The sequence below is a fragment of the Homo sapiens genome, chromosome 20 (genome assembly GCF_000001405.40).
Source record: "Homo sapiens chromosome 20, GRCh38.p14 Primary Assembly".
NCBI lineage: Eukaryota > Metazoa > Chordata > Mammalia > Primates > Hominidae > Homo > Homo sapiens.
In genome coordinates this window covers 33811851-33835728 of record NC_000020.11, presented here as the reverse complement: position 1 = coordinate 33835728, position 23878 = coordinate 33811851, and the positions used below count along the sequence as shown (strand labels likewise).

General features: G+C 45.2%; 1 protein-coding gene across 1 annotated transcript in view, besides 2 other annotated features; it reads right to left on the bottom strand.

The window, feature by feature from the left end:
• Positions 1-23878, bottom strand: part of CHMP4B (charged multivesicular body protein 4B) — a 43019-nt gene that overhangs the window by 18638 nt on the left and 503 nt on the right. The gene's annotated exons all lie outside the window — the stretch shown is intronic.
• Positions 22986-23826: an enhancer, noted in NCBI's record as "H3K27ac hESC enhancer chr20:32399709-32400549 (GRCh37/hg19 assembly coordinates)". NCBI's record gives its function as "activates a minimal SCP1, AML or CMV promoter by ChIP-STARR-seq in primed H9 embryonic stem cells {active_cell/tissue: H9 hESC(primed)}" and the evidence as "EXISTENCE:reporter gene assay evidence [ECO:0000049][PMID:30033119]".
• Positions 23088-23157: an enhancer, noted in NCBI's record as "active region_17748". NCBI's record gives its function as "activates an Ori minimal core promoter by ATAC-STARR-seq in GM12878 lymphoblastoid cells {active_cell/tissue: GM12878}" and the evidence as "EXISTENCE:reporter gene assay evidence [ECO:0000049][PMID:35858748]".

Genomic DNA, 23878 nt, shown 5'->3' with positions numbered 1-23878 from the left:
CCTCTTTTCTTTATACATACCCCAGCCTCTGGTATTTCTTTAATAGCAACACAAATAGACTAAGATAATCTTTTTAAACACCTACATCGAGCTTCTAGAGATTAAAATTATTACATGGATGAACAGCAGATCAGACACTTCATTGATGAAAAGATTTGTAAACTTGAATAGCAATAAAAACTATCCAAAATGAAATACAGAGAGAAAAAATAATTTTAAACATCAGCAGAGCAGCAGTGAGGTGTGGGATAACTTCAGGTAACCTATATACATGTAACTGGAGTCCCCAAAGGAGGAGGGCAGGTGAATAAACATTTCAAGAAATAACGGCCAAAAATTTTCCACTTTGATGAAAACTTTAAACCCACAGATACAAGAAGCTCAATGACCCTGGAGCTTAAGAAACTTGAAGAAGACCACATATACCAAAGCACATCATATTAAAAGTGCTCAAAATCAGTAATAAAATGTTAAGAGCAGACAAAGAAAAAAATATACATTACATATACTGAAATAAAGATGACAAAGATTTCTCATAGAAAACGATGCTAGCAAGAAGACAGTGGAGCAATATTTTTAAAGAATCTCATTACTTCTATCACCTGGGATGGAATTTAATAATTAGGAATCATAGGCCAGGTGCGATGGCTCACGCTTGTAATCCCAGCATTTTGGGAGGCCGAGGCGGGCGGATCCCTTGAGGTCAGGAGTTCAAGACCAGCCTGGCCAACATGGTGAAACTCGTCTCTACTACAAAAATTAGCTGGGCGTGGTGGCGTGTGCCTGTAGTCCTAGTTACACGGGAGGCTGAGGTAGGAGAATCGCTTGAACCCAGGAGGTGGAGGTTATTGCAGTCAGCTGAGAACACGTCACAGCACCCCAGGTTGGGCGACAGAGTGAGACTCCATCTCAAAACAAAAATAAAAATAAAATAAATAGGAATCACGAACAGAAAATCTGTTAAATCCCCACACATTTAGGAACTAAATAATATACTTCTAAATAAGCCGTAGGTCAAAGAAGAAATGAAATGGGAAATCAGAAAGTATTTTGAACTGAATGAAAATAAAAACACAACATATCAAAATTTGTGGGATGCCACCAATGTGGTACCTTAAGGGAACTAAAAGCCTACACTAGAAAAGAACAATCTCAAATGGACCTCAGCTTCCACCTTAACAAGCTAGAAAAAGACCAGCTTGGGACTGAGCAACGTGGCAAGACCTTATTTCTATTAAAAATTTTTTTCAAAAATTAGTCGGTGGCAGGCACCTGTACTGCCCCAGCTACTTGAGAAGCTGAGGCAAGGAAGATCACTTGAGCCCAGGAGTTTGAGGCTGCAGTAAGCTATGATTGTGCCACTGCACTCCAGCCTAGGTGAGAGAGTGATAACCTGTCTCCAAAAAAAAATACAAATACAAATAAAGGGCAAACAAAATCCAAAGTAAGCAGAAGAAAGGGAATAAAGATCGAAGTGAAAAATCAATAAAAGACAAAAAAGAAACAAAAGAGAAAGAAGGTCAATGAAATAAAATTCTGGCTCTTCGAGAAGTTCAACAAGATTGAACTTCTAGCCAGACTGACCAGGAAAAAAAGATTACTGGTATCGAGAATGATAAATGTGATATCACTACAGACTCCAGGAATATTAAAAGGATAAAAAGGGGATATTATGAACAACTTCATGACAATACTAGAAAAGATGAAGCAACTTCATACCAATACTACAAAGGATGCAACGGCTTAGATGAAACAGGCAATTCCTTTGCTCATTCTACTGTACCAGGAATTACACTTTGCTCATGATACCCTGCTAGGGAACTAGGGACAAAAATGATACAGTCCCAAGGCTGAAGGAATTCACAGGCCAGCAGATATGGACAATGTAATACATGACAGAGGTCAGCACAGGACACTTACTGTGGATGCCTAGAGGGGGGAAACTAACCTTTGGGGTTATCATGCATTTTAAAGGATGGTAGGAGAGAGCCCAGAGGAATATATCCAAGCAGCAGGAAAAGAGAGGCATGAGAAAATAGGGGAGGGAACAAGGAAAGATAAAAGCTAAAGAGAGAAACTCAAGGACAGACTTGGATGTCTTGTTAAGGAGCTGCTGGAATCTATCCCAGGGTTAGCAGGAAGCCATTGAAAGATTCAAAGCAGGACAGGAACGTGATCAGATTTACATTTCAGAAAGATCCCTCTGGCTGCTGTGGGGAGAAGGGGCTGGCAACCACTGCAATAATCCAGAGGGTGTGGATTTCAAGAGCCTGAACTGAGGCCACAGCAGAGGGGCTGACCAGGAGAGGGTGAACTTGAGAGATACCAAGAGGGAAGACCATGGGCCTGTATCACCTGTTTGAATGTACAACAGAAGGAAATGGAGACTGAGTCAGGAATAAGTTCCAAGTTCCTGGCTGGGGCAACCAGGTGGTGGAGATGCCATTTCTCAGAGAGACCAGTAACTCAGGGAAGAGAAGATAAGGCAGGGAGGGAGAAACTATTCTCCCAGATCTTTCTGTGGGGCCATGGGCTTCAAAATTCAAGTTAGCACCTGAAGTTTGAATTAACCTTCTCTAAATCCATATGAGGAAGATGGAGTTCAGGGACTTCAGAGTGGGTCAAATCCAAATCACTTCTGGCTGGCCGTGGTGGCTCACACCTACAATCCCAGCACTTTGGGAGGCCAAAGCAGGAGGTTCGCTTGAGGCCAGGAGTTTGAGATCAGCCTAGGCAACATAGTAAGACCCTGTCTCTACAAAAAAAAAAAAATTTTTTTTTAATTAGCCAGGCATGGTGGTGCACACCTGTAGTCATAGCTATTTGGGAGGCTGAGGCGAGAGGATTGCTTGAGACCAGGAGTTTGAGGTTACAGTGAGCTATGATTGCGCCAATGCACTCCAGCCTGGGCAACAGAACGAGACCCTGTCTCTTTAAAAAAAAAAAAAAAAAATCATTTATTGTAAAACTATAAAGAGCACAGGATTCAAAGGTAACCTAATTACTACCATTCATACATGGGCGTGTCTCAGGAGAATACATAGGTATGGTACATGTTTTTAATTGCAGAGACTACCTCAGGGCCTTGTAATTGGTCATTTCTAGGAAGGGAGTGACTGAGGCAACGAAGGCACTTTTAAAATTATGTACCATTTACATGACTACCTAATCAAAACAAACAAAAACAACAGCCTATTTCTTCCTCATCCCCAGACATGGAAAGACAGTTATATTTTAAAAAGCAAATCATTTACTAAGAACAACCTGATTATGACTGGCACTGGCGCTTTGGTGTGGCCCTCGGGTGGAATGAAGGCACTGATTGAGCTCCTCCCCCACCCGCCAGGTCCCAGGCTGGATGCTCTTAGCCAGGCTTGCTGAGAGGTGACCAGGTTCTTGGCTGGGACAGAGGGGAAACAGCCTGCTTTGGGTTTCCGTTCCCAGGCTGGGATGCACTCTTTCTTTTCCGACTGGCTTTTCTTCCTCTGCTTCCAGCTGAATCCATGCCAACAAGGGCCCCCTTCTGCCTGAGCAAGCATGAGAGCACCCTGGCAACCGAGATGACAACGGAGGTATGGGGGCTGGGGACGTTTGTGGGGAAGTTGGGAAGAGAGTGAAATGCCGGCAGAAAAATACTTCCAATGTGCGCGCTTGTTAGAAAAGCAAGGCAAGAGGGAAAACCCAACCAGCCTTTTATGCTTTTGGAATCAAGAGAGACATGATGAAGGGGTTGCAGACAAATGATTTTCCTTGCCCAGGAGGCAGCAAGGGGTGAAGGGCACAGGAAGCTGATTCTCTTTCGGGAAAAGGTAGTCTTGCCTTGTCCTTAAAAAATGGGGCACAGGTCAGACACGGTGGCTCACACCTGTAATGTTATGTATACCTTAGCGCAATTAAAAAACAAAAACAGTCTGGTTCATGGGTTTGTTATCCGATCTTCCCTGCTGAACACTGTCGATTACAACTGTATATGTGAAAATAATAAAATTAAAGAACAAACTCCAAACTGCACAGAATTACCAGACACTGAAACACTGAGAGAACATAATCTCTGAGGCCAGGTGCAGTGGCTCATGCCTGTAATCCTAGCACCTTGGGAGGCCAAAGCAGGAGGATCACTTGAGGCCACGAGTTCAAGACCAGCCTGGGCAACATAGCGAAACCTCATCTCCACAAAAATTTTTAAAACTTAGCTGGGCAGCCAGGCACGGTGGCTAACACCTGTAATCCCAGCACTTTGGGAGGCCAAGGTGGGCGGATCACTTGAGGTCAGGAGTTTAAGACCAGCCTGGCCAACACAGCGAAACCTCATCTTCACAGAAACTTTTAAAACTTAGCTGGACGGCCGGGTGCAGTGGCTCATGCCTGTAATCCCAGCACTTTGGAAGGCCGAGGTGGGCGGATCACTTGAGGTCAGGAGTTCGAGACCAGCCTGGCCAACATGGTGAAACCCCGTCTCCACTAAAAATAGCCAGGCGTGGTGGTACGTGCCTGTAATCCTAGCTACTCTGGAGGCTGAGGCAGGAGAATCGCTTGAACCCAGGAGGTGGAGGTTGCAGTGAGCCAAGATCACGCCACTGCACTCCAGCCTGAGTCTTGTGACAAAGCTATCTGGAAAAAAAAAAAAAAAAAATTAGCTGAGCATAGGCAGTCTCAGCTACCTGGGAGGCTGAGGTGGGAGGATCCCTTGAGCTGTGGAGGTCCAGGCTGCAATGAGCCATTTTCATGCCAGTGTATTCCAGCCTGAGTGACAGAGCAGGACCCTGTCTCAAAAAAACTAAAAAAAAAAAAAAAACTCTGTTCCTTTGAACAATTAATTCACAGTGCTAGATTATAATCTGATTGTTTAGAAAATAATGTAAAGAAAGGAATGTCAGAAAGCAGCCTCCCTACCAAGAAAAACAATACCTCACGGGTCCTAAAGTAGTCAATCAGAAAACAAAAAGCTAAGGAGTGCTATGGACTGACCTGTATCCCCCCAGAATTCATATGCTGAAGCCCTGGCCCCAGTGTGGCTGCATTTGGAGATGGGGCCTCTTGGAGGTCATTAAGGCTAACTGACATCACAAGGATGGGGCCCTAATCTGACAGGACTATTAGCCTTATAGGAAGAGAGACGCCCCCGCTCTCTATCCACTCCCTGCAATGCACAACACACACTCCACAGAAAGGCCATGTGAGGACACAGCAAGAAGGCAGCTGTCTTCCAGCTGGGAAGAGGGCTCTCACCAGAAACGGAATTACCCAGCACCTTGACCATCGACTGAGTCTCCAGAACTGAGAAAATAAATTTCTGTTGCTTAAACCACCCAGTCTATGGTATTTTGTTATGGCAGCCCAAGCTAACTAACACAAGGAAGATAAGCACTATAGATGTCCAAGCCATTCAAAATCTTTCAGCCTGGCCACAGTATCCCCCATACCCTCTTGCTGTAGGGCTTTCAGGTCCCTCCCCTGAGATGATCAACAGCCTCAGTGTCTCTCCCACCCAGCGCCTTGCTTTTCCTGGCTCCATATGCTGAGGGAACCACCAAATGCTTCTGCCACTCCTTTCATCTTCCTCTTCACCACCACCCTCTCCCAGCCAAGCTTCCTTCCACATCCTGCTGAGCACTCCACCAGAATGTCTTCATTCTCCACCACACGTGAGACCTGGTTCTGGTTCCAGCTCTGCTGCCAGTCAGATCTGGTCAAATCAAAGTCTGTTTCCTCATTTGTAAAATGGGAGTGGGGGAATGGGCCCAGATGATCTCTCAAGTCGTTTATATTTCCCAGACCCAGTAACTCATCAGAACCTGAACAAGATTCAGCCAGGCAGAGCCATCTGCCCTTCTTCCCTTCCTATCTACTATCTACTGTCTGTCTACACATGTACCAAGATGTGGTTCTATAATGCTCAGATGTCCTGTGGTGTTATCTCTTCAGGCTGACCCTACATTAGGCACTGGTCTTAAACTATCTCCGGAGACTCTCTTTAAGGAAAGGGATCACCATGTGTCTACTCTGGATACAGCCTCCTCCTTTCCTACCAACTACAGAGCTGTACGTGCATATATTAGCCAATTAAAAGAAAATCTAAAACTTATTTCTCATACATGAAAATGATCAGGAAAGTCTTTCTGGGGTCTGGTTTCACATAAGAAATTGAAATTTTTAATTACTCAACCAAAGAGGGCAAAGAAAGAAATTCAGGCCAAAATTAATTCACAGATTTGTGGCCTTATAGCCTTAAGACCCAATACAGAAGGGAAATCAGTTCCTTAGAGCCTAGGGGCCAAAGAAAGGGAGGGAAGTGTCTCTTATTTTTGCCTGAGTTTGTTTCTGCTTCCCAAGGGAAAGGCAAAGCTGAGCAAACACCACAGATGGGCATTCTCGGCTGGGCCTGCACCTCTCCAAGTACCCAATGTGGTCTGAGAATGCAAAGAACTGGCTGAGAAGGGGCTGAAGTTCATAATCTGGTCCCTTTCCTATGTTTATAAACAGAGAGAACTGGGGAAAATTCTGTGTCTACATAAATACCACACACCCTCCTCTCTCCCAGCAAGAAGCAGCCTCTCTCCTCCAAGCTTCCTCGCAGCTCTTCTCGCTTTCTCCCTTGGATTCAAGTCATAATCCCTAATGGGCTGTGAGCCCAAGACAGAGGCCAACAATTCTTCATTTCTGTACTCCCAGCAATACCTAGCACTGTGCCCTGTACTACAAGGTGTTTGGGAAACATGTTGAATGAGTAACAGAAGGATAAATGGCCTCTGAGATTCTAAAAGGGGCCAGAATAAACAAATATTGTTCTCTTCTCAAGTCCTAGACTGCTATAAACCCTCCAGACTGCTGAGTGCTGGAATGTTCTCATATCTTGATCTATGTGATGGTTACACAAGTGTATACATTTAAAAAACTCATTCAGGTGTCACCTGAGACTTATCTGCTTACTATACGTTATACCTCAACGAAAAAGAAAAAAAAAAAAAGACAAGAAGCACCAAAAATTACTATTTATATACCAACTGTTTCTTAGGTCTCTTTATAGACTTCCTAACCCTCCCCAGAGTCCTGTAAAATGAGCCGAAAGTAGGAATTATTCTGATCCCTTGCATGGAGGAAACCCTGATGCAGGGAAAGACAGTGCCTTGTTCAGCCTGGTCACACAGAGAGTCAGAAATGTAGGCGCAACATTTCTGTAGTTTGTGATCCTCCACCACGGCTGTGCCCGCCCGCCTCACCACTGACTGCCAGTTATAATTCAAAAGAAAACAACCCCCTAAAATAGCAACTGTTTGCTCCATCTCCCCGTCAGCTGGCTTTCTGCATGGCACTTTAACTTTATTTTCAAAACTATTCTGGCAGGGTTGGCCACATTTACCACAGCGTCTGTTGAGAAACAGGTGAGGCTACAGTAGAATTCACTGGAATGAGGAGATAGGTGTCATGAGTTCCAGTCCCAGCTTTCCCTTCAATGAGCTGTATTACTTTTAACAGGTCACCTAACCTCTCTGGGCCTGGGATTTCCCTCTGTATGGACAAGATGTGTGCTAAAGTTTGATTTTCCAGAACTGCTTAAGAGACAGGAATGTACTGTGAAGGTTAATAAAAGGGAGAGGGCTGTTTTAATGTCACTAGTGGAGACTTGAGGTTTTAAAGGGCCTAATTTAGAACCAGGTGGGTAAATGTTTACCATATTCCTAAGAGGCTTAGCTGCTCATGATGGAGCCAGGACTTATGCTAAGCATGAGGCCTTTGCAGAAAAGCCCGCTGCTCTTTCTGACACCACCAGGACCATTGATTTTCTCTTCGATCGCCATCCTAAAAAGCAGATTGAAATAAAATGACTCAAGTCAGGCCAGCCCTCAGCAGCTGGTTCCTTTCTTCATGATCCTCACACAGGAGACAAATCCCCTACATCCTGTGGCCCCAAAGGCGGGTCAGTGAGGAAGTCAAGTCCTATCACAAGTCTTACCCCAGTGTGCTTAACTGGTCACTGCTGGGGGTTTGTCCAGTAGGGCTTGAACCTGCTGAGCCCCAACAGAAATTTGTGCCTCTGATTTGCCAAAAGGCTGGCAGTAAAAGTCAGAGGCAGGCTACTGAACCAAACAAGGCTCAGGTACCAGAAAAGATGCCTTCCAGCATCTGCGCTGCTTGCCTGGATGCAGGATCAGGGGAGCAGCTAAAAACCATTATTCAGTTCTGGCCTCTGATCCAAGGAATCAAAACAGAAAAATGTCCAGTACCTTCTACAAAACAGCCTGTGGCTGACCTCGACTTTTACAATAAGCAGGCAGGTACCTAAGCTATTAACAGATAAGATGAAGGCTGAGCTACTCCATCTTTTTATGCAGTGAAACTGCTTGGAGCAACACCTGGCTGTCTGAAGGTAAGGTTACTGTAATGTGGCACTTGTTGACTAACAGAATGTTACAGCAGAGAAATCTCAGCACTCATTTAATCCATCTTCCCATTTTGTTGTTGACAAAACAAAGGCCCAGAGGTAGGAAGGCCCTTACTTGTCCAAAGACATACAGTGACAGAGTCTGAACTACTGTGCAGCGTCTCAAAGTCTTAGGGGTCTGCCAGACCAATCTGGGTGATGGAGGGGGCACCCAGGGGTAGGACAGCTAACAGGAGGCCAGGAGCTCAGGAAAGGGGGAGGAGAGTAAGAGTTCATTCTCAGAGTTTTGGGAATGGGATAGTAGATCAAGTCTGGGCTGAACTTGAAATGTATGGCCTCAGAAATACAGGTCACTGTCATCAACCAAAAAGAATAACTAGCTTTCTCTTAAACCAAAGATAAACATGAAAGGAAGATTAAACAATCCCAAAGATCACAACTAACTGAGTTAGCCAGCTAGCCAGCTGGGAGTGAAATGCACAATATTAGCCAAGGACCTGATTAATAAATGAGGCTGGGTCAAGCTACTTTAAGCAAAGAGGATTTGCCTGCTTACCTTTGACATGCAACCTGAGATACTCTGAAAACAGAAAAATTGCTGTTCTGCCTCTACCAAGCTGCCCAGAATGGCTGGACTTCAAATAAAGCAGAAGGGGAATTGGGAGAACAAACAAGAGAAAGGGTAGTGACCGATGGACTTCCTTATAAGGGAACAGTCCCCAGATACACCTCATTCCCTCAAGCAGTAATGGACAGACAACCTAACCAATGGGAAGCTTCACCTGGGTGCTGTAGGGAGATAGCTGCTGGTCCCAGCAAACTGCTCTCTAGAGACAGAAAGTATCCATTTGGTATGTGTCTCGCTAAATTCAAACTAACACAGATTCCTCAGCTTGGCATCCAGGGCCCCTCAGGGAGGCCGCAACCCATACTCTCACCCCACCTGAGCCACCACTACCCCTCATCTATACCCCATAACCCCTCAACCCTCCCACATACAAACACAGCATATGCTAATCTCTGTACCTTGGGTCCCACAGTCTCCTCGGCCTCGAATGGTCCTACCAGCCTCCTCCTTCCCAAATCCCATTCATCAAGTCCCAGCTCAGAATCCCTGCCATCCCCCTGGTGCTACCCTAGAGTCTCCCAGCTGGAATTCACTTCTTCCTCCTTCCTTCTCCTACCATACTTTGACTGAATACCAATGGTAGGCGTGCCTTATTTTACGGAGAGTTATGCACTGTCTTTCTCTACAGCCCTCACCAGACAGGGAGTTCCTGGAGGGTAAGAACTATGACCCACACCATCCCTTCAAATTGAGTCTCTCACAGTAAACACTCAAAATATTTGCCAAACTGGGTGGAACTTAACAACCTTTTTTCCTTTTCCCACCATCACCTGATAAAACCAAACAGCTCCACCCTAGGATGCCAAGCAGGGGTCCAAGCTCCTAAACCTGGAAGGAGCTGGCTCTTTTTCAGAGACCCTTTGTGTGGGCTTGGCCTCTCTGCCTCTTACCTCTGAAATAAGAACAATGGTTCTTGTCAGAGAAGCTCAGTGCTTTGAGATGAGAGGTTCTGCAAACACAGATTCCCAAGTTCAAGGCCATTATTTTATACTCCCCTTAGACCCATGCACCATTTACCAACTAATGCTAGAAACTTAAAGCTTGTTTCCAGCCAAATACCTCTTCTTTTATCACAAATGCCCTAGTGTATAGCTGTTGAGAGAGCAGCACTGAGCACTCTGGGTAGCCTGTTGGCTTTTTATTTCCAGAGTGTGGAGATTTCCATCTCAAGTGTGAAGACAGCTCATGGTTTCAGGAAAAGCCCAGAGTTTCAGACCTGCTGTTCTCTCAAGTCTCCTGGTATAATGTGTCAATCAGTTCCCAACCTATGGACTGTGAGCTCATAGGGTTCACAGTGGTCACTCCAGCGCTCTGTGAATGTGCCCAACTGTGCCCTGCCTGTGCACTAAATGATGAATATATCACACAATAATAAAAACAACTACCATGTGACCATCTACCATTTACGCAGACACAATCCTAGGGAAGAAAGACGGTGGGTATATAGTGAATATCGGTTGAAGGGAATTAATATCTGATCTTCTCAATTAACGGGTATTAAAAGTACAACTATTATCATACACCCATTCTTGATATTTTTTGAAATTAGAAAAGGTTTCTTCAACCTGAAAAGACTAGGGACTATGGGTTGATCAGAGTCCTGAGTGGGAGGGATTCAGGTCAAGTTCCCAGCCCTAGCCAGACCTCTAGAAAGCAGAGCCAGGTGGCCTTGGGCTAAGTCTCTAGACCTTGGTTTCCCCAGCAGAACAACAAAAGGGTAGAATGAAAAGTACCTAGCAGGCTCCACCCAGCCCTGCTCTTTATGACCCCCTTATCCTTAGACCAGCCTCTAACACTCTAGAGCTCTATTTGCAGTGGCTTGACAAGCCCTAGAGCCATGGCTCTCAACCTAGGAGCTTCTGCCACCCTCCCCCCACCCTTTTGGGGACATTCAGCAATATCTGGAGACATTTTTGTTGTCACAACTGGATGGGGAGGTATTAAGAACATCTAGAAGGTAGAGGCCAAAGCTTCTGCTGAACATCCTACAATACACAAGACAGTCCCACACAACAAAAAAATTATCCAGTCCAAAATGTCAGCAGTCAAGGTTGAGAAACCCTACTCTAGAGGTCACAGAGAAAATGAGCTTATTGCGGGAAAAGATAGAAACCTGGCAGGGAAATGCACAATGTTGATGTAGCGAATTGAATGAATGAAGACAAGTGAATAAAGGCTGTCAAGCCATTCCAGAATGTAATAACAGTCTCCTCTTGGTCGTCTCCTTGGCACTAGTCCCACTGTGTATAACACGGTCCAGTCACTCTTGGGACCCCCACACCCCAACCCCAACCTTGTGCTCCTCAACCTGACCACACCCACTACTGACACAGCCTTGCTGAAGCTGGGGGGAATCTGAAATGCAGCATTAACAGGAAGGAGCCAGGGTGGATGCACAGAGTGGCAGAAACGCACTAGACTTGGAGCCTCAAGAAGGGCTCTAGCCTTGACTCTGCCTCTAGGTTCACAATTTAATTGTTTTGAGCCTTAGTTTCTTCCTCTAAAAAAAGGGAAAAAATGGGGCTAAAAACCATAATCTGCCCTACATAAGGCTTCTCTGAGTTTCAAAACCAGATTATGTATGTGAAAGTTCTTTGGAAGCCATAAAACACTGTGAAGTATTCCTCTGCAGAATAAGCATAGGTGCTCATATTGTACAGGGAATATTATAAAAATTGATTTCCAATGACAAGATTCTGTCTATTGATAAATTACGAGCACTCAAGGATTATAGCAATCTGGGGCCGGGTGTGGTGACTCATCCCTGTAATCCCAACTCTTTGGGAGGCTGAGGTGGGAAGACTGCTTGAGCCCAGGAGTTCAAGAACAGCCTGGCCAACATAGTGACACCCCCATCTCTATAAAAAATAAAAAATTAGGCTGGGTGCGGTGGCTCACACCTGTAATCCCAGCACTTCGGGAAGCCGAGTGAATCACCTGAGGTCAGGAGTTCGAGACCAGCCTAACCAATATCGTGCAACCCTATTGGCTTCACCCTATGGCTAAACAAAAATTAGCCAGCTGTGGTGGCACACGCCTATGATCCCAGATACTTGGGAGGCTGAGACAGGAGAAGTGCTTGAATCTGGGAGGCGGAGGTTGCAATGAGCCTAGATCGTGCCCCTTCACTCCAGCCTGGGCAACAGAGTGAGACTCTGTCTGAAAAATAAAATAAAATATTAGCCAAGTTTGGTGGTACATGCCTATAGTTCTAGCTACTCAGGAGGCCGAGGTGGGAGGATCACTTGAGCCCAGGATGTCCAGGCTACAGTGAGCCATGATCACACCACTGCACTCCAACCTGGGCGACAGAGCTGAGATCCTATGGAATATCAAACACACCAGAAAATCTACTGTGATACAGCCCACCTCAGGATCCCCAAGTCACAGAGCTAGATCTGCCCAGTGACTCATATAATCTGAACCTCGACTTTCTCATCTCTAAAATAGGATAATACCACTCACACATGGAGTTGCTGAAAAGATCAAACATGATCAAGTTTGTAAAGTACATGGTATTTCCCAAAGATGGGGGAAATGTTTTCATTTCCTGGGGATACTTTTTTTGAAAAAAAAAAAATTTTTCTTTGAAATACAATGTTTTTAAGCATGATGAAAATTACTTAACTGGGCCGGGCGCGGTGGCTCATGCCTATAATCTCAGCACTTTGGGAGGCTGAGGCGGGTGGATTACAAGGTCAGGAGATTGAGACCATCCTGGCTAACACAGTGAAACCCCATCTCTACTAAAAATACAAAAAATTAGCCCGGCGTGGTGGTGGGCACCTGTAGCTACTCAGGAGGCTGAGGCAGGAGAATGGCATGAACCCAGGAGGTGGAGCTTGCAGTGAGCCAAGATCGCACCGCTGCACTCCAGCCTGGGTGACAGAATGAGACTCTTGTCTCAAAAAAATAAAAAAAGAAAGAAAGAAAGAAAAGTACTTAACTAGGCCTGGGCCTATATTGCTGTGTCCTTTACACCTCCAAAATTACCTCTAAAATCTAAGCATGAGGAGGGCTGTCCGCAGCTGTGAGCCCTGCAGCCCTGTCAGCTAGGAGCAGCAAGCTGAATGCCAGGCTGACATCAGTTCCCTCCTTAGACAAGGCCACAGAAGGCTATCGGAGCCCATTACAACTTGACACCCAAAGTCCTACCTCCAGACTTGCCAAGCAATCTGCGATGACATGCTGCCTATGTGCAAAATTCTAAAGGGAGAACATGCTTTGGAGAGATGAAATCAACTAGTTCACCTGATAGAGAATTAAGACAGTAGGCTGGGCACGGTGGCTCACGCCTATAATCCCAGCACTTTGGGAGGCCGAGGCAGGTGGATCACCTGAGGTCAGGAGTTCGAGACCAGCCTGGCCAACATGGTGAAACCCCCATCTCTACTAAAAATACAAAAATTAGCTGGGTGTGCTGGCACGTGCCTGTAATCCCAGCTACTTACAAGGTTGAGGCAGGAGAATCGTTTGAACCCAGGAGGTGGAGGTTGCAGTGAGCCAAGATCACACCACTGCACTCCAGCCTAGGCAACAGGGAGAGACTCAGTACTCTCAAAAATAAATAAATAAATAAATAAAATAGCAATAGGCCGTGTGCAGCAGCTCACACCTGTAATCCCAAAACCTTAGGAGGCCAAGGTGGGTGGATGGCTTGAGCTCAGGAGTTTGAGACCAGCCTGGGCAACATGGCAAAACCCCATCTCTACAAAAAAAAAAAAATACAAAAATTTAGCTGGGCATGGTGGTGCACACTTGCAGTCCCAGCTACTCAGGAGGCTGAGGTGGGAGGATGTCTTCAGCCCAGAAGGCGGAGGTTACAGTGAGCCAAGATCTTGCTACTGTACTCCAGCCTGGGCGACAGCAAGACTGACAAAGAAAGAAAGAAAGAAAAAGAAAAGAAAAGAAAGAAAATAGCAATAATCTGGGCTTTTATTTTTAACTTTTTTAAAAAAATAGAGATAGGGTCTCGCTTTGATGCCTATATTGGTCTCAAACTCCTGGCCTCAAGTTATCTTTACACCTCACCTTCCAAAGTGCTGGGATTACAGGTGTGAGTCACCATACCCAGCCTAATCTGGGTTTTAAATGTCAGTCTTGTCAGTCAATGTCTCCAAGTCCAGGGAACTCTGGGACACACCATGCTGATCAAATTCCTCAGCCTACTGGAGGAGTCACAGAGTAAATCCTAGTCTGGGTAGCAACTCCTCTCCAAACCTCTGCAGGGAATAGCAACTGGGCTACACACATGTAAAGTCTTATTTTTATTTATACAACTATTAGATATTATAAAGACTACAAACCAGGATTTTTTTTTTTTTTTTTTTTGAGATGGAGTCTTGCTCTGTCACCCAGGCTGGAGTACAGTGGTACAATCTCGGCTCACTGCCACCTCCACTTCCGTGGTTCAAGCGATTCTCCTGCTTTAGCCTCTCAAGTAGCTGGGATTACAGGCGCCTGCCACCACGCCCAGCTAATTTTTGTATTTTTAGTAGAGATGGGGTTTCGCCTTGCTGGCCAGGCTAGTCTCGAACTCCTGACCTCAGGTAATCCGCCCATCTCAGCCTCCCAAAGTGCTGGGATTACAGGCGTGAGCCACCGCACCCGGCCAAACCAGGAATTTATAATGATTGCTTATGCAGACAGTAGAGAATCCACTGCTCAGGTTTCTTAGTTCCTACTTCCTTCCGTAGGAAGACAATTATAATTTTAACTGAATCATTAACTGAATAATTAAGCAAATTAATTATCAGAATAAACTATACTCTAAATTTAGTATTCCAAAGCTAATTATTTTATGACCAAGTTAAACACTGATCCATTCTCATGTCCCCGCTAAGAGGCTTCTGATTCAAATAAAGTACTTTTTTAAAGTACTGCAAATAGTTCCACGTTCCTGGTTTTTCTTTCGCAAAAAACTCTTCCTATTAATTTAAAGTTTCAAGCACTCATACATTTTGAGTTCCTTTCTGCTCTAACATTCCATTACTCCCCAAAATAACTATTCGATAAAACATAAATTGAAGTCCCCCACCCCCCACAATGAAGTTGTTCCAGTTCCCTCCACTGCATGTCACAAACTGAATCCTAAGTATGCTTCTAGAACAAATCACACTGTACCCTGGTTATCTGTTTACTTGTGTCACTTGGCTAGATTTTAAGCACCTCAGAGGCAAGGACCTGTCTTCATCTGCATTTACTCAGCAACTAGGACAGTATCTAGCATACAGCTCAAATTACTACATACTTATCTATCAAATAGATTCATGAATGAAGCAAGTTTCTAGCTACCATCTTTGAAAATGGATCAACTGAAATTAAATGCAAATGTGTACCTATACAGCATTAAGATCAAAGATTTGGGATCTCAACATCAGAGTCCCCAAAGTGTAAAATATCCAGATCTGTTTTAAAATCTCTCAAACTTTGATGGGCATACAAACCACCTGAGGATCTCATAAAATGCAGGTTCTGCTTCAGTAGGTCAGGATGGGGCCTAAGAGTCCACATTTCTTTTTTTCTTTTTCTTTTTTTTTTGAGACAGAGTCTCGCTCTGTTGCCCAGGCTGGAGTGCAGTGGTGCTATCTTGGCTCACTGCAAGCTCCGGCTCTCGGGTTCACACCATTCTGCTGCCTCAGCCTCCTGAGTAGCTGGGACTACAGCTGCCAGCTGCCACACCCAGCTAATTTTGGTTTTTTTTTTTGTATTTTTAGTAGAGATGGGGTTTCACCATGTTAGCCAGGATGGTCTCGATCTCCTGACCTCGTGATCCACCCGCCTTGGCCTCCCAAAGTGCTGGGATTACAGGCGTGAGCCACCACGCCTGGCCAGAATCCACGTTTCTAACAATTTCCTAGATGTCTCCATAGCCCACACTTTGAGCAGAAAGCTTGTGTAGTCAATTCTGTATTCCATTTTTGTAGCTAAAGAAGCTGTTGTTCAGAGACATGAGGAGGCTTACCCTGGGTTACCAAACTAGCAAGCGGCAGAGGTGGAATGTGAACTCAGGCCTTCTCACCCCAAAGCTAGCACCTTTTCCACTATACCACATCACTGACCTTTTGAGCTAAACAACCACAACCAGAGGGATGTATAGCTTTCCTCCATCACTCAAATAAGCCCTCCAAGCCAGCTCTGCCCTGTAAGGAAGAGGGAGGAGGTAGAGCTAGAAATATCAGCTGTCAAGGAATCAAGCCAGCAGATGCTCTTGTTAAGAACTTAAATCATTCAATCCTTCAGCTAAGACTCTTTAAGAAGGACCAAACAAACTTTAGGGGTTCCTAGATGCTCATCCCTTTACTAATGAATAAGCCACAGGAAAATACGATCACTTTTCCCTGTCTCAGTGATACCGGAAGTATCAGGGCTAAAGAGCACTCATAACCAAACTAGTTCCTAAACAAATGGCTCGGCCCTGCCTGTTCTAGGGTTGTGCTGCTCAGACTTTGGCTAGAATATTCAGATTATTCAGCTCTGTCCACTCCACACCTTAAGAGCAACACTGGCCGGGCACGGTGGCTCACACCTGTAATCCCAGCACTTTGGAAGGCCAAGGCAGGCGAATTACTTGAGGTCAGGAGTTCAAGACCAGCCTGGCTAACATGGTGAAACCTCGTCTCTACTGAAAATACAAAAAAATTAGCTGGGCTTGGTGGCGCATGCCTGTAATTCCAGCTACTCGGGAGGCTGAGGCAGGATAATCACTTGAACCCGGGAGGCAGAGGTTGCAGTGAGATGAGATGGCGCCACTGCACTCCAGCCTGGGCAACAGAGCAAAACTCCATCTCAAAAAAAAACAAACAAAAAAGAGCAACACTGGTGAACAGGAGCACATCCAAAGGAGAGTAAAAAGGAAGGAACAGAAGCACCAAAAAATGGACAGTCAATGAAATGTAGAATGGCTGTCCTAGAGAAGTGCAGGCTTGAGACATAAACACAATCTTCCTTGATCTGTGATGTAGAAGCGGGATCAGACCTGTTCTCTGTGGCCCCAAGAGGCAGAAATCACAACCCGTTTTCTAGTTCACAAATGTCTAGTGTCAAAGCTGGGATTTGCCCCAACCCTTCTGTCCCCAAATCCCACATTCTTTTCACCAGCCCAGGCTGCTTCCCTATGGAGCTATTATCCCAACCTGTAGCAGAGGTAGGTACTATAGAAAGACAGATATCAGTCCCAATTAAGAAAGGTGATTTTACAGTTGGAGCTGTCCAGAGACAGACTATGCTATAGTGTGAGAGGATAGGGCACCTAATATAAATCCTGTCAACAGAGGGGTTCAATCAGAGGTTAATCACTTGGCAGGAATGCCACAGAGGGAATCTGGGCATTGGATGGGTGGCTGGGTGAGATGAACCTGCAACCTCAGAGATGAATTAAACTCTTCCTGCTGTATTTTCCTCTAACACTTCATTTGTAAACTTGGGGTTTGCCTTTTCTCATAGTTACTTTTACCTGTGTGTCTTCCTCGATGAACTGTGTGGGCCCTTGTGGGGAGAAGGCAGTGTCTCATCCATCTTTATAGCCTTACTGTCCCTAAGACTATCCCTGGGAAGCCAAGGAAACAGTTTCATCTCGCCTATTTGCCAGGCATTCTGGCAGGCACTCTACATACATCAACTTATTCCACATCCTCATAAGAGCCCTAACAAGTAAGTATTGGTAGTATTTCCCTTTTCACACAGTGGGGAATTGAGACTCAGAGAAATATAAGTAACTACCAAGGTACTACTGATGAAAGGTAAAGCTGCATTCAAACTGGGAATCTTTTGCCCACATCACCACACCTTCCACCTAGAAGAAACGTAATAAATGATTGCTGACTTGAGCCAAACAGCTTAAAAACAGGCCAGTACTACAAACAGCTAGATCTGTAGTTTCCCATTGCTATGCTCAGATTTTCCCCTTCTAAATATAATCATCCATCTGCAAAATGACCAACTAAAGTTGTTTTCTAATATCCTCTCTCTCACACTCTTAAAGACAGTGGCACAACCCAAAATAATTCTGAGCAAGAAGACTAAGTTTTCATAAGAAATTCCTCAAGGCCCCAAGAGCTCTGCCCCTCCTCCTGGTGGGCTCTGGCTTCATGTCAAGGCTCTGGACCACTGTAAACAAATTAGGTCCTGGCTTTACGCCTCGGAGATGGCTGGCTCGCACACATCTTCATAGGATGCTCTCCAAGACCTCGCTCCACACTCAAACCCAACTCTGGACAACTCAAGGTTTCTCCAAGCAAAACAGTCCTGCTCACAGGTCTTCACGTTTAGTTAAACTTCCAAACAAAATCTATCTTGAGTTACAAATCACATTATAAACCTACTCTGGCAGGCAATTAAAAATATCTAATCTCCCTGCCAAATGGGGCAAAATAAGGATTTGTCATTTGAATTAAAGGAACCAGTGTGTTTGGATAGCCAACACATAGGGCCTCTGGTACTCCATCTGTCTTAGGAAGTAAACCAAACTCAATCTAGCCAACCATTTTTCCAAACAAGAAACTTAAGCGTCACTGAGGGAAATTCCCACTGCTCACTTCCCTGGGTGGATTTCGAGTTTTCTATCCCTGGGCCTCTGGGATAAGAGATACTGCTGGCACATGCGCCATTAAGACACTGTGCTTTTCAACCTGAGATCTTGATTCCAGAGAACCAAAGAGCCACGTTCTTTGTCTCATAAGACTATAAACTTATTACAGTGTCTTCACATATGCTCATGTTTGAGAGAGACTTTATTAAACATGAGAAAACCACCCTCACTCCAGCAATGAGCAGAACTTAATGAAGATATATCTCTTGTGAGCTTCTGGCCTCTATGCATCCATCAGACATTCTCAGCTAAACCTAAATTAACCTGTAAATGAACTGATTTGCATCCATAAATTCACAGAAATGTACCAGTATAGGGTGTTTTAGATGCCACTCTCCATTTCCTAATCTTCTCCAATTCTCTTGTTAAACTATGATCTTGTCTACAACTGTTTTCATCTTTACTAAAACAGGAAAAAAAGGGAAATCTGAACCATCTAGAGTAGATATTTCCTTAGCTAGTTACCAAGACTTAAAAAGAAAAGAATCTTTGATATTTGATCATCTTCCATTTTTTTCTTTTCTTTTTTTTCCCACATGTTCTCCAGAAAAGTATGATCACCTTTCTTAGGGAGAAAACCAAAGGGCATTGTTTAGAAAGGTACCAAAAAAGACCTAGCTTTGGGTGATTTCTGTCAGTTCACCTAAACTCTGATCTTGGTTTCTATCCAGTTCTCAATGAAAGAGACAACTAAACCAAAGAAGTCTGATCAACAATAACTTTATCAGAAAAGAAAAGTACACTTACTCAATATCCACAATTTGCCACACTCTTTCATATATTACCTTAGTTAATCCTCACCATAGGCATGTGAGATGAATATTATTTCATAAATGATGATATTTAAGTCCCTTGGATGGCAGAGACCACATCTGGTTCACGTCTGCATTCTCAGCACCAAGGATGGGGCCTAGGACACAGTAAGGGCCTGCCACATGCTTAAGAATGAATATATGACTAAAGAAAAAGAAATGAAATTTGGGAAAAAAAAGCAATCCAAATTTTGCTCTAGGCTCCTCACTGGAACCACTACCTGGGACACACCTACACAGTGCAAATACTCTACTCAAGCTTCTGAGGTCTGTTTCAAAGCTTCTGAAGTTTGTTTCATCTTTCCAATGTGTATGCCTCAAAGATAGCATCTACATTTGGCTACACACCCAGCAGGGAATAGCCTGTTTCTGCTTTACTTCTTTTTCCCCTACTCAGCACCACACCTTGCACAGGTGGGTGTTTAATGAACTGAGTGTTTAATGAACATGGTGATGGTCATGATGACACCCTTAGTCATCATGGGAGTAAACAACACAAGATGCCCACAGTCAACAGAACTGGTCTTTGAGTTGAGTTCGTCCCGTCGTGAGCCTCATTTTCCTCTCTTGTACAATGGGAATAACAGAACTTACCCACAAGATTGTTTTTTTCATTTAACAAATGCTGACCATTAACCATGTGCAAAGCACTGTGCTAGGTGGTGGGGACACAGTGATGAATGTGACCATCACATCTTACTTCATGGACCTCACAGTTTCAGGGGATGCTGAGCGGTTTTCCAAACCTACCAGGACTATACAATTATCAAGTACACGCTCCTTCTCCTGTTTCCCAACTTCATTACTGCCATCACCATCCAACCAGCTGCCCAAGCTATGAACTGGGGAATCATCCTCCACTCCCCTCTCTCCTTCGTCCTGCCCACTCCCACAATTACAACAAATCACCAAGTCTCTTTTGATTCTCCTTCAGAAAAGTCTCAGACATGTATTATTTCTCTTCCAGTTTCCCATGCTTCTACACTAGGCCCTTTATTCTCACCTGAAGAATTGCAAGTCTCCTTGTAATAATGATAATGGCAAGCATTTATCGGTCACTTACCATATGGCAGGCATTGTCCTAGGAGCTTGGCATGCGTAACATATTTTCATCCAATCAGGCAGATACTAGTACCCTGATTTGTGGAGGAGGAATCTGAGGTACAGAGTAACCTGCCCCAGGTACCCAGCAAGGAAATGATGAAGCTGCAGCTCAAACCCAGGTCTGAAAGGCACTATCCTTGCCCCTGATGGGATTCTTGCCTCCAGTCCCTTCCTGGTCAGTCTACACTTCTTCCTTTAAGCTGCTGCTAGAGTGCTCTTTCAAAATTCCAAACAGATATGATGACTCTCTGCTTTAAAAGCCAGCCAAGGGCTGAGCACAGTGGCTGTAATCCCAACACTTTGGGAGGCTAATACGGGAGAATCGCTCGAGGCCAGGAGTTTGAGACCAGCCTGGGCAACAGAGCGAGACCTTGTCCCTACAAAAAAAAATGTTTTGAATTAGCTAGGCATGTGCCTGAAGTCCTAGCTACTCAGGAGGCTGAAGTGAGAGGATCATTTGAGCCCAGGAGTGCCAGGCTGCACTGAGCTATAACTGCACCACTGCACTTCGGCCTGGATGTCAGAGCAAGACCCTGTTGCTTAAAGTGAATGAATAAATAAAAATAAAGGACAGCTAAGGGCTCCTCACTACTTCCAGGTCAAGGTCCAAAGACTACAGGCCACTCTCAGTGTTATCTCCTGTCCCACCCACAGACTCCAGAGGCGACACTGTCACTGCCTCCCAAACACACCCAACTCCTTGCTGACCCACCTCACGTTCTCCTTCCTCTGCCAAGTCTTCTTTATCCTTCCCCCCAAACAGGTGCCGCCTCCTCTGCAGCCTCAGCCCATGTACACACTCATGTTTCTGCACTGTTATAATCATTTCCTGCTCTCTCACACGCACATACACTCCCACCCCACACTTCCAATTCTGAGTTCCTGAAGGGCTGACACAGTGTATTTTCATCTCTGACTCTCAAGGTCCCAGCATAGTGGCAGGTGAATAAGCAGACTAACTGAATGGTAATGTGGTAGTGTTCACCTCCCCACACTAAGACCTTCCTCCTAGAGGATGCTAAAAAGAAGGGTAGGTTACAGTAGCTCCCATCCTCTCAAGCAAACTCAGGGAGACAGCCTGCCTTCAGCAAGTCTGACAACTGAGATTGGTCCTCCACAGTTGGCTGGCGAGCTCTCCTGCAGCCCCTTGAAAGTCAATTCGATCGCCAAAACTGCAGAAACGGCTGGGTGCGATGGCTCATGCCCATAATCCCAGCACTTTGGGAGGCCGAGGCAGGCAGATCATGAGGTCAGGTGTTCAAGACCAGCCTGACCAACATGGTGAAACCCCATCTCTACTAAAAATACAAAAATTAGCCAGGCATGGTGGCGTGCACCTGTAATCCCAGCTACTCAGGAGGCTGACGCAGGAGAATCATTTGAACCCAGAAGGCAGAGGTTGCAGTGAGCTGAGATCGCACCACTGCACTCCAGCCTGGGCAACAGAGCGAGACTCCGTTTCAAAAACAAACAAACAAACAAACAAACAAAAAAACAAACTCCAGAAACTAAGCTAGCTCCAGACCAAAAGATCAGAGGAAAATGGTAAACTGACACCCTCCTCCTGCATTCCAAAATGCAGAAAGCTAAAAACACTGATTCTGATGACCATAAACAGAGGATCTGGACTGAGGGAGAGTCATCAGAGGAAAAAGCTAGAGACAGCAAAATATAACCCTGTTCCCATCTCCACAACTAAGCTGGAGTCCAAGCCACAAATGGACCACTGCAGCTGCCTCCTCACTGTTCTCCCTGCTCCCACCCGCATCCCCCACCCACTCTCCAAAGAGCAGCCAGATGATGTTTTAAAAACTCTGTCAATAAGGACACGTTCCAACAAAATACTCTCCAAAAACTTTCCATCCACTTGGAATAAAATTCAAACTCTTCACCAACAGGTTCAAAGTCCAAGCCCCGCCCCCTTTATTCCATACCACTCTCCCTCCAAGCACTACATTCTGGACACAAGGGTCTCTCTCTTCGGTTTCTTACAACCTGCTAACCTCCGAGCCTTTTCCCATGCTGCTTTCCACGCCCAGAAGGCTCCTCCCCCTTTTTTTTTTTTTTTTACAGAGCTGGTTCCTTCTCCAGACTCAGTTCAAACTTTACCTTTTCAAAGACGCCTTCCCTGACCATTCTATCCAAAGTGGCATCCCTCCCACTCCACCACTCCCTATCAGACCATCTTTTTGTGTGTTTAGTACTTATCACCCCCGGACAATATTTTCTTCATTTATTTTCCTGTTTCTGTCTTCTCTCCCATTAGGGTTGAGGCCGTGTTTTGTTCACCCCTATGAATACAGCGCATGCAGCAGGCACTAAAAAGAATTTCCAGAATATCTGTTGACTATCAGCAGAGAAGCATCCTCCAGATAGGCTATTTTGTTCTCCTATTAGAATGGAGAAAACATCGATTTAGCCCCTACTATGTGCTGAGCACTGTAAATCCATGATTTTCCTTTCAGAAAGGTAAATGAGCTCAAGGTCGCACTGCTAGTCACTAGCAGACTTCTGAGTGAATTACCTCAATCCTAAACCCCTCTCAAGGGGAAGGGATGTCGTTCTGTGATTCACTCTCACATGGCCATAACAAGAAAAAGCAAACATTTCTAAACTGCTTTACAGTTTTAAAGCATTTTCACATTCATCTCACTTAAGAAAAACACAAAGCACTTGGAATGCCCAGAAAGCCATACGACAACAGGAAGTAAAGTAAGCAGTGCCTCAAGATTCAATACTGGGGCCCTGAATCCTAGTAGTGGGGACTGGGGAGCAGTCGGGAGTCTCTATTTCTGGTTCAGACGGATGGGGAAGCGGTGAGTCATGGGGTGAAGGCTTGCGCCACGGGAAACTTTGGTAAGGTCAAGCTACGAGGCAACAAAAAGTGAATCACAACGCTGGAAAACACCTTAGGCCTCAACAGAGGCCGAACTCTGGCTGACGGATGGGGAAACTGAGGCCTCAAAGGGAAAGCAACTTGCTCAAGTTCACTCAGCAAGTGAATAGAGCAGGAATCGGGGGTCTCATCTCCCCCAGTCCCCTTTTCTCTCCAGCAAGGAGGCTTTTCAACGAGAATTCTGAGACAAGAGGACAGGGGAGAGGCCAAGGGGCAGCTCACAGATTCCACCGAGGAGTCGGGAGAGGGCACAGGTAGGACCAGGAAGCACAGAAATGCTAGGATGGGGGCAGAAATGAGCCGAGGAGGAGGCAGGGGCAGTAGCTAGGCAGGTGGGTGAGGCGAGAAGGAAAAGGCGGAAGAGAAAGGGACAGAGTGAGGGCGGAGGAAAGTGCTGTGAGATTGGGGTCTGAAGGGACCTGGCGGGGTGGAGAGAGGCTGAGGGGAGAGGGCAGAATAAGTCTGA